Source organism: Homo sapiens, chromosome 5 (assembly GCF_000001405.40).
Source record: "Homo sapiens chromosome 5, GRCh38.p14 Primary Assembly".
NCBI lineage: Eukaryota > Metazoa > Chordata > Mammalia > Primates > Hominidae > Homo > Homo sapiens.
The window spans coordinates 164,622,380-164,638,112 of record NC_000005.10 but is presented as its reverse complement, the minus strand read 5'-3'; the positions used below and the strand labels follow the sequence as shown (position 1 = coordinate 164,638,112).

The window sequence follows — 15,733 nt, the reverse complement described above, 5'->3', positions numbered from 1 at the left end:
ATGCAGAGGAAATGCAGCAGAGTCTGAAATGCAACACAGTGAGCAGTCAAAACACTCAAGGCAAAAAAATGCTCCATTCTTAAAAAGGAATAAAGCAATGATAGATTGACTGCCAAACTATATTTTCTGCGTAGGTATTCCTGATTGTCCTGTCATTCTTTTGAACATTTCAGAGTCTTCCCAATGTGACTCTTTCCTCCCAGATAGTGTCATGCCTCCTTCCCTAGGTACCTGTGGCAGAGAGAAGAGATGCAGAGTTAAGGAATCCTGTTGAGGACGCCTAGAATGGAGTTCATCCTTTACTGAAGAGAACAAGAAAAGACTGAATAAATAGAGAGCAGAGAATAAAATGGTTAGAGCTGCTTGAGTAAATTCATACAATGGATTTATCAGGTGAGAGATACCTTTAAGATCCTAAAGTACAGTTGGAAGGTAGGTTGGAAAAACTTCAAATCAATATATCTCTTCCTTTAATTATGTTGTCTATGCTGGCCAGTCACCTTGAATTTCTATCTCTCATGATGAATCACTCTCAGTTCCTAAGTACTTGTTTGGTACACCGCATATTTTTGATTGTGTCCCTTATAGTTCCATCCCACCACAGTTAGCATATTGCCTTCAATATAACAGATGTGCAAGTGAAGGTTGGGTGGGCACGTTTAGTATTATTTGTTGATAGATTATTAGTATTTCCACTTAAATTGTGGGCCGAACACATTTGGAGTTGTGAAAAAGTACAGTATCTTCTGATTTACATTTAGGAATTAGTTGACCCATATTATTATATGGAAATACCTTTTAAAAAGCTGGTATACTACAAAGACAGATACAGAATCATAATGGGTCTACCTTATCTCTTTTTGTTTCCCTTTAGGGACCTAGTGTGGATTATACAGAATCACCAGCAGCTGCAATTGCATTGCCAATTAATAATTGCTTTAGATTTAGACTCTCCCTTCTTCCCTTCTGAATAAAACACATAAAATGCTTCTACTCCAAGTCATACATGCTTTTTAAGTTCTTGTTAAATTAGTCCCGAATTGAATGTAAATATCTTTTGTTTCTTACCACATAAGAGCCATTATTGAAACTCCTTAAATTTACAGACACCAAAACCATCAATGAAAAATAAAAATTGTCAAAATGGGGTTACAGGTGGACATTCTACTTACTCTCTCATGCATTTAATTGAATTCTGTGCAATTTCATGTGCATTATAATAGACTTCTTTTACACCATCAGGAAACAAGTTTTAAAACATGTGCTCTGCATTAAACATCACATAAATATTCAGCAAGGGAAAGAAAAACAGTTCTAAAGGAGTATAGTAATTTTACAGTCTCTGGTTTCTAATAAATTTTTACAGCAATCCTAAACTGCATTAGCAAGTCCCAGTTTATTGTCAGGCTTCTGCACAACATCCCTCAATGACATGTCAAATCTTTACCACAGCAGTTGAACTCCTAAAGCTGTCCTCATTGGCAAGAATCTTGTCAGATTAAATTGCCAGCTCTTGTCAAGTAAAGATATATGATCTGATCGTATTCTCCCAATGATGACATGAGTTGTCCTTTCACTGTGGCTGGATTGTAAATTCCCAGGACATCCCAATAACCACAGTTTTTGAGAATAAAAAGAGAATTTACTGACCTTTCAAAATAATGGTTCTCCCCTGAATAAAATATCTAATCATTTCAACAGTATGATTCTTATTTCTGTGTTCTCATTGTATTGTCATTTACCAACACATTTAGTAGGTAACTTAGGATGTTGCACATGCTTTATTTTCTGCCTCTCCCTACTTCCTTGTCATTTCCTACATTAAATATTATGAATGTGTATCTCTCAAGAAATTACTGTTTATTTCAGTTATCCAGGATGTTATATGTAGAGAAGAATTTATAGAGTCTCTTTGTTGCTCTCAATATTTGTTAAAAATGTAAAAGAATAGATATAGTCAGCAAGCTACAATGACAATCCATTGACAGGAATGGCATTCTTGGTACCAAACTTTTAAACACTAACAATAAATACATAAATTGTATTCTTTGTATGAGATATGTAAGTAACCACTTTAGAATATACTGCACATGTCATGAGACAGGATGAGATGTCATCTTATGCCTTTCCACTTAAATTCAGGGGATCACATTTCATCTAACACAAATTATCTGAGTGTATACCCCAGTTGTAAAGGATGGCTTGACTCCGAAAAACCCAGGATTCCAGCTAGACAATTTTACATGCCTAATAATATGCTCAAAAGGTAGTTAAATTTCAGCAGCTAAAAGAGTTTTCGTGTTATCATAGCAGCCATTAACTTCCATATTTATAAGACACCTAGGATTACACTTTAAATGGTAACTTGGGTGGGGCATAGTGCCTCACACCTGTAATCCTAGCACGTTGATTTGAGTTTGAGTCTAGCCTGAGCAACACAGAAAGATCCTGTCTCTACCAAAAAAAAAAAAAAAAAATTATCCAGGTGGCATACACCCGTGATCCCAGCTACTTGGAGAGTGATGTGGGAAAATTACTTGGGCTCAGGAGGTAGAGGCTGCAGTGAACTCTGATAGCACTATTGCACTCTAGCCTGGACAACAGAGTGAGACGCCATCTTAAAAAGAAAAGGTAACTTGAATAGCTGCAGAAAACATTGCTCTATAACGATGTATGAGGTCATGTGGGGAAGTACATATTTTCTATGTTAAAATTATCCTGAGTCCCAAATATTTCATTGAACAATGTATTCTGCCCCAAACAAGTTAAACGAAATCTAACCCATCATTTAAATTTCAGCATAGGCTTACTTACTAACTAGTGAATAGATATTTCCTTCATAATTAATCTAGGACTATTTTGTGTCATGATTTTCCATGTTATCAAATAATAAAGGTTTTAATTATAAGTATTTATTTTAAATCAATTTATGGGTAAATTTATTTCACAAAATAGATTTCACAGGCATCATAAATGAATCCAAATGAGTAAAAATTACTTGTTGAAATTTAGATTTGTCCATAAATTTAGGGAATTAGGAACTTAGATTAATTCTATTCCATTACTGTGTCAGTTCTTGACTCAAATATCCATCAATGTCTCACAAAAATGTCATTAATGTTTAGATCACTAAAGATTATATTTACTTTTGTAAGTTGACTTCATACTGGATTAATTTACATTCATTTCTCATCTTAGTCTAGAATTGTATAATTTTAAATATCTAACTTGGTCTTGACTGAATTGATCAAACCACAAAAGCAAAATAGCATGTATTCCTGCTTCATAGCTATATGAGTATAAACTTGACCTTTTTTAAAAAAAGTCTGGGCTGGGTGCAGTGGCTCACGCCTGTCATTCCAGCACTTTGGGAGGCCAAGGTGGGTGGATCACGAGCTCAGGAGATCAAGACCATCCTGGCCAACATAGTGAAACTCCGTCTCTACTAAAATAAAAAAATAAAAAATGTCTGTCAATCACCTTAAAAATTATTGGTTTTTAGTGGGCAAATGCTAGAAGCAATCTACTTTCCTAGGATCCTTCAAATCCGGGTCCTAAACCAACAAAACTATATTATGGGGATGAGATTTAGGTGATTTTTATTCTCTATTTTAAATGTCTTTTAATGTTAGATTATAAGAGATGATATAGTATAATAATGTTATAGTTCATGATATAAATTGAAATAAAACTCAGTATGTTAATATACTATTTAATAGTAATTCATTATAAATATCAAAGTAGTATCAAATAGTCCATTTTCTATCTCATTTAATATAATGTTAGTACAATACTGAGTAAACTAAAGAGGTAAATTTTTTCTGTTTCATCTATTAACATTAGGTATTATATTTCTATTCTTAAAACTGTATTGCTTACAAAATAACTAGGGTACATCTTGTGTTTACAATCTAAAAGCAGATGTTAAAATACAATGGCACAGGATCTCTTTAATATAAATAGTGGTCACTTAATATTTTAACTTATAAAAACAGACACACACACTTGAAAATAGCATCCCCACGTTAAGTACATAATTTGGGGAATTTTCTTTCAGTCTGTTTTGTGTATTCAATTGATAGCTATTTAGTTGAAAAAAAAACTTAGGTTTATCTTCTGCACCAACATCATACTGTTTTTCATTTGTATTTTAAAAATCTGCTTAAATTTGCGCAAGAGAACAAGAATTAGATATATTCTTAGTTTTTCAATGGAACTGACATTCTATTTAAACATATGTGTTAAAAATTTAAGTAAGCCATTGCTCTTTACTCTCCTAAAAAGGACTTTTTCAGCAGTCTAAACTACCTATATTAATCTCATCTAAAGTGATATATCAGAAAAATCAATGCAACAACAGATTAATGTAACTGTATTAAAATCCTATTTACATAAAATTAACATAAATATGAGTTAGTATGCCATATGCTACAGCATCTGCTCTTCACTGTATTAATAACAAGGCTGTCCCCAATAGGGATCTTAAAATTAATACATATTTAAATTGTATGTGTGTGTGTATATATATATATATTTATATATGTGTGTGTGTGTGTGTGTGTATATACATATATATATATTTTATGAAGCTCTGACAATGTGATATATGTGAAATTTTGTCAGTTGCAAACAGGCCAATTCACACTGAAATGATACCATCAACTGGACTATGATTCTGGTTTATAATAGGTGGCTTCTGAGCTATTTCACATTCTTTTTTGGAAGACTGTTTAATTAACCTTAAGCTAAATAAAACCTTTATTTAACATAATTACTCCCTTTGCTTCCTGGTGACTCCCTATTCCATCTTCTTTGAGGTCCAGTACAATTAGCCAATGAGAAATAACCAATAACCCATCATATGGGAAGATGCTTTAAGACAATCTTACACTTCACTTTCTGTCGCTAAATGTTTACATTTTGTTTTCCCAAAACAAACAGCCTAAGTTCATTTGATGGCTGCTTCTTCTAGCTTCTAGGGTGACTAAATAAAATAATTTCCTAATACAAAATTTTGTAGGAACATCAAATAATTGAAGTGGAAATGTTGCACTTTGTTCATTTTAAGAAAATTGATGTAGTTTGACTGCTCCTTTTTATTTCCATTTTTTACCACTTAATGCAAGTTCTGAATTGTGTTCTTGCATGTTTTGTTCATGTAATTTTTCACAAAGCAAATTGAAGGGTAATAATTGTTTCAAAATGATAAATTAACTTGGACTTGCTGTGGTTATAATTCCAAATCAATGTGGTAGAGCATATAAATATTAAGCATAGATATTTCCTGTCCCAGATGCATTGAAATAAAGGTATAGATCATTTATTCCTCAATATGAGCACAACTGTTATATTACCTATTTTTTATGTATAATTACACAAAAGGATGTTCGGTAGTAAATAGACTAAAAGGAAAAGAAATGTTTGACTTAAGAAAAAGAATAATTTCCTTTAAGAATGCCAGCTAATTATAAACACAGTGTGGTTATGTGCATATATGTGTGTCTATCCACATGCATCCAGATGTACACATACATATAGATGTAAATGTGTATAGTTATAGATACATATAGATAGGATTCTTATACTACAGACACCTTTCTCCCAAAGTAGATAAGTGAAGAATCATAGTTCAGAATCTCTCCACCCTTTTTCCTATAACCATTTCACGTCTGGAATTTATGATGCCCCCCTCTAAATAACTACACAGGCCGAGTGCTGTGGCTCACACCTGCAATACCAGCATTTTTGGAGGCCAGAGGCAGGTAGATCACTTGAGGCCAGGAGTTCAAAACCAGTATGGCCAACATGGTAAAACCCCAACTCTAGTAGAAATACAAAAATTAGCAGGGCGTGGTGGGGAGTGCCTGTAATCCCAGCTATTTAGGAGGCTGAGGCAGGAGAATCACTTGAACCCAGGAGGTGGAGGCTGCAGTGAGCCGAGATCGCGCCACTGCACTCCAAGTCTAGGTGACCAAGGGAGTCTCTGCCTCAAAAAATAAAACAAACCAACAAAAATCTACACATATGGTCACAACTCAATCCTTCAAATATTTCTGAGGAGGTTATAAACACTGTTAAGTCTATCTTCAGAGGTCAGACTAAGAATGGTTGAAGTAAAATGCACATGATTAATTCCTCAGCTTTCAAGGAGTCAGCAAGTATTTGTCTTACATTTCTTATTCTGTATAAAAATTGGGTCCCTGTAGTCCCAGCTACTTGGGAGGCTGAGGCAGGAGAATGGTGGGAACCCGGGAGGCGGAGCTTGCAGTGAGCCGAGATTGCGCCACTTCACTCCAGCCCAGGAGACAGAGCAAGACTCTGTCTCAAAAAAAAAAAAAAAGAATTTCCATTCAATAACATATTGTGTAAAATTTACAGGATAGTATTTCATTAACTATGTTCTATGTATTTTCGTTGTGATCTTGAAATTTCATATTTTTTAATCTCTTCAACTTAACTAGCTATTATCTGTACACTTGATACTCAGTTTGACATTCCAAATCTTTGAGTTCTCAGGTTGTGCTCCAACCCTGCCTCTCCAAGTGTTGTGCACAGATCAACAGCATCTGCAGTAGTTTCTCGGAATCACAGGTTCCAAGAATCAGAATCTGCATCTTAACAAGATGCCCAGGGAATTTGAATTCACATTAAATTTTAAGGAGTACTGGATTTAGAGATGCTTAAGAATGACAAATATTAGAATTTTAAAATATGTTCTTTGCAGTGTTAGCTTATATGTGATTTGTATCTACTTTATTACTATAATAATTTTCCTCTTCCTGTCTTAATTCTGATTACTTCCATTTAGTCATATTTTTATTTTCCTTTTATTTTAAACTCTTTTTTCAATAAACACATGCTCTCTTGTCCCACATAATGTTGATATATTTCAACTAAAATAAAAATCAACACTAGTAATGAATGTAATTCTGCTTCTTTTTCTGTAATGGAAGACGATCATCTGTCCAAAAAAGGCAACTGCAACTTAAGTATTCAAAAGAAAAATCAACCGAATTTGGAAACATAGCACTTAATGACTTTTCTTCCTTTTGGACAATTTCTTCATAATATACGCTAAAATATGCTGTGAACATATTGGTCTGCTAAAAATTATTAATGGTAGGCAGTGACTATATTCTGGTAGTTGATCCAGATGCCATCAGAAAACTATTTCCAGATTTTTAATAATAGCAGAAAATGGAACTGGGATTCATTGTTTTCTGCACCCATAACTTTGGCAATCAATGGTGTAGGTTCTTGCTACAAAATTAACCTTGCCTTGAAAGATACTTATATATGTAGTGCATGACATTTCTATTTTTTTTTTTCTAAAACTAGCTTCCTGGTCTAGGAAAGAGGAGCTTTATCTACAAGAGCAGATATTAGAGAACACACAGACCAGTAAAATATTTTTCAAAATAAAAATGTAGAAGTGATTGAGTGGTGTAGTGTAGTAACACTACAATTAAGAACTATACACACTGTTTCTTATTACAGTTAATGAGCTACATATATGCATATCCACATATTTTTAACTCATATGTTCTATGTTCATGTTTCAGAAGCAATAAAATCAAAATATGTTTTCTATTTATGTCATACATGTTTGAAGAAAGAAAAAGAACACGTTACAAAAGGCAAAGAAAATCACACAGAAATTCTTTATCAAAGCAAAAAAAAAGGCTTTATAACATGCCTAATTTGAGTCAGAATGGTATAGTATTAAAAATTTGAAGGTAATTGAACAACTTAGGTGTGTCTGCTTGGTTTCCCAGCCTTAGGGTAAACTCAGACCTATCCTGGAAATGAAAAAGAAGAAACGATATGTGTTATCTATAGGAAAACCAGGATGAATTTTAAAATGACCAAAAGCATTTACAAAATATCATAAAACTTCTTAATTTTAATAAAGATTATTTTTTACCTTAGCACTGAGGGGCTATAATTTAGTCAAATCTCTAAAAAAGGTGCTCAAAAATCAAAATTATCTAAAAGTCTAGCTGATATTAAAATTCTGTACTTACTAGCAATATTTGCCCAGCTAAACAAAATCTAAAATATGTTTTAGAATACATGTACAGATGTTGGAATTGTTTTGTTTTCATTTATTTGAGATTTTATTTTCTTTGAAAAAATTGCCTGAGGTTAATTACAGAAACCTGGAATTGTTCCATCAAAAAATAATACCAAAACAAAACAAAATACCATCTGGACTCCCAGGTTAACCTGAACATCCATGGTTTTGACTCCTCTTTGTAAATAGGTCTAGAGGAATTTCTATCACTTTTGATAAGTAAGTAAATGTCCTGATGGCAGAAATCTAGTCCCAATTTTAAAAATTAATTTAATTATAATTTGTTGAACATCCAATATGTGCATAGGAAGTGAGGGTTATTCAGAATAACAACTTCTGACTCAGCCCTTCTATGTCTCCCTTTCCTAAGGGCTCAAGTTTTGAGAATGGGGAGATTCCAGTGTACTGTGGAGGGGATTCAGGGGAACAAAAAGAAGCTGAGACAAACAGATAGAAGTGATAGAAACTGAGAAACTGATATTCCCTAGAGAAATCATGTCTGCTGTTAACGTACTGTTTTTGCAGAAGTCTTCATTTTAAGGAAAACCAGACATACACACCCACTTTTCTAGAATAACCTGTCCTCCAAGGAAAACTTAGACCTTAAGGGATGACAGCTCTAATTTTCATAATTATCCACCTGTTTATTTATTAAATAAACAATAAATGCCTAGCTAACCATGCATTTCTTCCAAAGAGCTTCTACTTTTGAATACTATAACATGAATTTCCTTGAGCTCAAAGAATACAGGCAAAGGTGATTAGTTGTACTTATTTGCCCATCTTTGATAAAGTCCAGCAGGATATGCCATGAATAAAATAGTACCAGTTTTTTTCTTTACTATTCATTTTAAATCACTATGATTTCTATTGGAATTCAAAATCAGCAGCAATCAAACATCTAAACTGTAACATTGATGGCACAATTTTATTCAATGAATCTTATTGAGCTTACCTGGCATAACACAAGAATCTTAGACCAACATCTGTCTCTAGAATTCTACCCCCCATGTTAGCAATCAGAGAAGCTAGAGTCTCAAGCACTGGTTTTCCAGTTTTCCTGGCAAACTCTCCCCACCACATTCCTTTGTCCACACATTGACCTTGATCATCTTACTCTCCAGTAAATACCCCTTCTCCCTTTTCAGGCTTTTTCCTACTGGGTGAACAGACTATGATGTTATATTCATTTATTTTTTTTACATGGGAGCTCTACAAATCTAGACTACTTGTTCAGTTATACTTGTTTTTCTAAGCTCATAATATTTTATTTTTATTGTTTCCTTGGACTGCTGGTAACTCTTCAAATGATCACAATTTTCCAAATTGAAAAGCTTCCTCTAATGTAAAGTATTTAAGAAGCATATAAAATTGTCTTTACTTATAGGCCTTTTAGAGTCTTAAGATTTAGCTGATAAAATAGATTTATTACCAGGTCCCATTTCCATATTGGGACTAACGTAGACCATAAAAACTTATATTTGGCATTTCTGAGAAGAATTGAGAATCAATTATTTAGGATACTGCTGTAAGTATGATAAGTGGCTAACCCATCTTAAGTGTAGGCATAAGTGAACAATTTTATCAGTCAAGGTATTTTTTCCCAAGTATGCTTTATAAAGCACTAAAATTTGAGATTGTTACCAATATAATATGGAAAAAGGGTCTATAGGCAAATACATTTGGTTTAGACCACACACTTTTTATTAGAGTATCACTTGAAGACTTTATTATAGTAATTTGAACTGTGATTCTTCAAGAAGAGCATCGAGTATACATTATTTATCAAACAAATGTAATGCAACTTATACTTTTAAAATATTTTCTTAAAATTATCTATGCATTTTTGATTATCATAAAAAAGTGGAATGGTAAGATTTAAGAAACCTCATAGCCGATGTTAAGTTGAACTTCTGAGAGAATATTTGACAAGCTAATATTGAAGTTTATAATATGTACTAAGTATTTTAAGTCATTTGATAGTTATGGTGAATATAATTATTACTGTAACCATAAATTGTGCAAATGCTGTGGCAGACACCTTAAGAAGAAATAAATTTGATAGGAAATATGCCACAGATGGTTTTCGCATTAACCTCTCTTATCCTGTTTTCTGTTTTGTTTGTTTGTTTGAGATAGTGTTTCACTCTGTTGCCCAGGCTGGAGTGTAGTGACACAATCATATCATGGCTCACTGCAGCTTCTACCTTCTGGGCTCAAAGGATCCTCTTGGCTCAGCCTCTTGAGCAGCTGGGACCACAGATGTGTGCCACCACATCTGGCTAATTTTTTTTATTTTTAGTAGAGATGGGGGTCTCATTATGTTGCCTAGGCTGGTCTTGAACTCTTGGACTCAAGCGATCCTATCATCTCAGCCTCCCAAAGTGCTGGGATTATAGGCGTGAGCCACTGTGCCTGGCTTATCCTGCTTTTATAATTGTTATATATTTTACTTACTATGACTTATAGAATTTCTCTAATTAATTTTTCTGTTTATCAGAAGGGATGAAAAATATCCAATGAAAGCCATGTTATATTGACAAACTTACCTTAAAATCAAAATTTATGATGTTCAGAGAAATATACTTGAGCAATTTAGTATATTTACAATGGCCCAATGCTATTGGAGAAATGGTTTCTAAAGGATGCATCACAAAGAGATTTGTAACGTAAAAAAATGCATTCTCATTGACTTATTAAATTAGGAAATCAATAAGCACAACTCTTCCAAACTGGGTTAGATATAGGAAGTTGTTTAAGTAATTTCACAATCTCTGTCTTGGCTATTGTTCACACATTTTTGACACTGTCTACATATTCTAGATTGAGAAATACTTCTCTATCTGTCATGGACTTGTACCAATTGTGACCATCTGGTAAAGATTTCGTAGAATCACTAACCATGTTTTTAAAATGTGCTACCTTCTTATGCAGTGTTGTGTTTCTACATTTTAATAATTCGATTTGTTTGTTTCATGGCATATGGCTTTGATGTTCACGTTGGTAGTAATGCCTCTAACCTCTTACTACTAAAATGTGTTAAATTAGAGTTTCCAATTTATGTGCCACTGACCCTTTATTTAAATGTGATCTGTATCTAATTATTATAAACATGATTTAACAAACCATATGCTCACTCATCTGTTCTTTATTGTATTAATGTGTCTCCTAAAGGACTTTGAAATTAATGTATAGCAGATACAGGTGTCCTAATACCTGGTAGATAACAGGTAATCTTGATTGATTTTGAGGTAAAAATAATAATGTAAAAAAGTAACAGTGAATAGTAAAGAATATACCTTATAATGTACTAAAGTATCATTTATGACTTAAAAGCCATAACATAGTAACAGTAGTCTGGTAATTTAGGATGTTTAAAAAATCTGTGATTGTAAAAATAAATTTTAAGCAGCCATACCTCTTTTGTTAATATTTACAATTCTTATTTTTTAATACTGAAAAGATTTGAAGAATAAAGCCTGCATAACACCACCTACTCAAAATCAGTGTATAGAAATCGCCAAACTGCTGTATATACTCTTGATTAGGTTTTCGACCTAACTATAATCTACAGACTTGTGAAACCTAGCACTAAAAGGCAAAAAGTTTAACTGACTCTCCAGTGCTTGCTTCAGTTTAGCCTTTCAAAAAATTGACTTTCAGATGATGCAGAATGACTCTAGACCCAAGGCACTATTCTAGAAATTAATTGACTCTTAACTTACCATTATTATGTCTCTTACATACAAGATGGTCTGGATATATTTTCTATTTAGATTTTAGATATTGTTCAATGTATTATTTTGTATTCTGGTCTTCTTATGTCTGTTAAAAACACTAGCACTTTCTATACTTCTTCTTTGAACTGAAAGACTTGTTTCTCAATATTTAAGGTACACATGGAAATCAGACCATGGGCCCCATCAACAGCTAATAGTAAGAACAAAATGAAACAAACAAAAATCCACCTGAACATTTGAATGTGTGCTTATTGACAATAGCATCAGACATTCACTTAGAACACTGCATTAATTTAAATGGTTTCCTTTAGTGGAATTTTTATTCAGAAGGTAGTACAAATTTCTACATTTTTACTTTTAAAATCTGCATTTCCTTTTCTTTTTCAGTCCCAGGTTATTAATCTTAGCAGGATAGCAGGTGGCCAGCACGAGAGAATGAACAGATTCTTCAGTTTTCCAATATCCTAACATATTGCCTACTACAATAGATTACACTACCTGTAATGCACTGTATCATCTTATGGCTTAGTGATAACCTAATGAGATGAAACAGACAAGGACAAAAATAGAAAGCTTTATATGCTTAACCTATGGCTGAACATTTTTGTTTCAAAAATAGTTAAATGAAAAAATTTAAATAGATTCCATTATAAATAGGCAATTAATTTTATTGGACTCATAATATTATTTTATTGTACTATCATTTTCTTTGAGATGCATATTCGTATAATACAGCACACATATGGAGAACAATTTCAAGCTATTTAAAGTGAGCACACTTGAAAGTAAGATGATGGCAACATACCAGTGGATTTCAGATTACTCAACACTTAACTCAAATTTGATCAAAGGCAAATTGTTCCATTAGGCATATAACAATATTCTAGAGAGATCACATACACAGAAATATCCACATTCTCATTACATAGAGAAATGTCTGAAATTGTGATGCATGTTGAACAGCAGTTATCACGTTTCTGCAGGACATTTGTTAGTGACAAAATTTCTGCTCCATTTTATGTCAGGGTAAATACAGAATAATATGTAGTGGACAACGTATAGTCAGGTTTTTCCATTAGATTTGTACATTGTGGTAGATGCTAGAGTTGTCACCCTCAAAATCTGTTACCAGTTTTCTTCTCACCTGTCGTCATCTACCACCAAGACTAGAAAGCCAAGTACTCCATTTTTTATTTCTCAGGAGTTAGGGCAAGCTATTTGGCACAATTCATTGACAATGAGGCTTACACTACAGTTGCTGGGAGGAGAGGTCCCTTCCTGAATAAAAGGATAAAGTTTTGATAGGAGGAACTCCTCTTCACTATTTGCCTCTTTTTCTTCTTTATTTAAAGACATAATATGCCCTATCATCCTTAGCAAAAACTTTGGGACTTTCCCATGCAGCCTCATGACCATAAATGGTTGCTTCAACTCTAGACAGAATATGGAATGAACCTGTCCATCAACACATGAATGGATAAAGACAGTGTAGTATATACACACAATGGAATACTATTTAGCCATAAAACAGGAGGAAATTATGTCATTCCAACAACATGGATGAACCCAGATGGCATTATGTTAAGTGAAATAAGCCCGGCACAGAAAAACAAATACTGCATGATCTCACTCACATGTGAAATTTTAAAAACTCTTAGAAATAGAGAGTAGAATAGTGGTTACCAGAGACTAGGCTGGTATGTGTGTGTTTGTTTGTGTGTACGTGCATGTATGTGTGTGTGTGTGTGTGTGTGTGTGTGTGTGTGTGTGGAGAGGTGTTGGTCAAAAGATACAAAATTTCAATTGGATAAGAGGAATAAGTTCAATAGATCCATTGTACAACATAGTGACTACAGTGAAAAACAATATATTTTGGCCAGGCATGGTGGCTCATGGCTGTAGTCCCAGCACTTTGGGAGGCCGAGGCAGGCAGATCACAAGGTCAAGAGATCAAGACCATCCTGGCCAACACGGTGAAACTACGTCTCTACTAAAAATACAAACATTAGCTGGGTGTGGTGGCACGTGCCTGTAGTCCCAGCTACTCAGGAGGCTGAGGCAGGAGAATTGCTTGAACCCGGGAGGCGGAGGTTGCAGTGAGCTGAGATTGTGCCACTGCACTCCAGCCTAGTGACAGAGCAAGACTCCATCTCAAAAATAAATAAATAAATAAATAAATAAATAAAACATATTGTATTTTTGAAAAATGCTGAGTATAGGTTTTAAGTGTTCTCATCATAAAAAGTATATGAAGTAATGTGTATGCTAATTAGCTCAATTTAGTCATTCCAGTGTATATATATTTCAAGACATCATTTTGTACATGATAAATATATGCAATTTTATTTGTCAATTTATAATAAAATACCACATTCAAAAAGGTCTATTTGATTTTTCCTTCTAAATAATTTGACCACTAATTATCACTCTGACTGTGACTCTCTTACCCAGGCAACCACAGTCTCTCTTGCCTAGATTGGTTTAGCTTCCTAACTGGCTTTCCTGCTTTTGCCCTTGAGTGTCTATACTGCACGCTCAACAGAACAGCCAGAATGATGCCATTACAATATCCATCAATTGCTCCAAATGCTTTCCATCTTTTAGGGCCCCATTGGTCCTTTTTTTTTCCTTCCTGTTTCTTCTCTGACTTTATGTCCTCCTACTTTCTGTCTAGTTCATTAGGCCTCAGTGACAGCAGCTTCAGTTCTGTTCCTTGACTTTGGTCCTCAATCAAAGTCTTTGCACTTGCTGTTTTTCTGGCTGGAATACTTTTCCTCCAGCTATCCTCACTTATGGGTCTTGAAATCTTTCAGGTTCTTGCTCAAAAGTCACATTCTTCAAGTGCCTGGTCACTCTAACTCCTTCCCATCTCCTACATGATCACACCAGTGGCAACTTTTTTTTTTTTTTTTTTTTGAGATGGAGTCTCACTCTGTTGCCCAGGCTGGAGAGCAGTGGCGCAATCTCAACTCACCACAACCTCTGCCTCCTGGGTTCAAGCAATTCTCCTGCCTCAGCCTCCCTAGTAGCTGGGACTATAGGCATGCACCACCATGCCTGGGTAATTTTTGTATTTTTAGTAGAGAAAGGGTTTCACTATGTTGGCCAGGCTGGGCCAGTGTTAGCATATTATATCACCTTTCACTGCTGTATTTTTTCCTGTTAGCACTTTTCACCATCTTACATAAAATACACTATGTATCATTTCATTGTCTTCACACTAGAATGTAAGTCCCATGAGGGCAGCAAGGCTTGTTGGTTTCCTCACTGTTACAGCCTCAATGTCTAGAACAGTGCCTAGCATGATAATTTGTTGAATAAATGTTAAGCCAAAAAAGCAAAATAGTAACTTCCTGTCGTGAGCAAGTGGTTGCTATCTGGAGCCGGTGGGGCCAGGGTAAGAAGAATTTACTAAGACAGTCGTAGATAAAGAAAGGCAGATTTATTAAAGTATTCAAATGTGTTGTAAGAGAGCAACAGGCAGTTAGTAAGAGAGGAGTTGACTGTATGGAGACAAAGGCTTGCCGGGGATTTTATAGGATAGTGCTTATATTGTGTGTTGAAGAGGGAATTTTTTTTTTTTTTTTTTTTTTTTTGAGACAGAGTCTGGCTCTGTCACCCAGGATGTAGTGCAGTGGTACCATTTCAGCTCACCATAACCTCCAGCTCCCAGGTTCAAGCTATTCTCCTGCCTCAGCCTCCCACTTAGCTAGGATTAGACGCATGCACCACCACATCCAGCTAAATTTTGTATTTTTAGTAGAGACAGTGTTTCACCATGTTGGCCAGGCTCGTCTTGAACTCCTGACCTCAGGTAATCCACTGGCTTTGGCCTCCCACAGTGCTGGGATTACAGGTGTGAGCAACCGTGCCAAGCCTTGAAGAGGGTTTTTTGTAGTACTGATAATGCCAAGGTGGT

At 34.5% G+C, this 15,733-nt stretch overlaps 1 long non-coding RNA gene across 1 annotated transcript in view; it reads right to left on the bottom strand.

The window, feature by feature from the left end:
• Positions 1–15,733, bottom strand: part of LINC03000 (long intergenic non-protein coding RNA 3000) — a 765,030-nt gene that overhangs the window by 423,622 nt on the left and 325,675 nt on the right. The window lies entirely within an intron of this gene.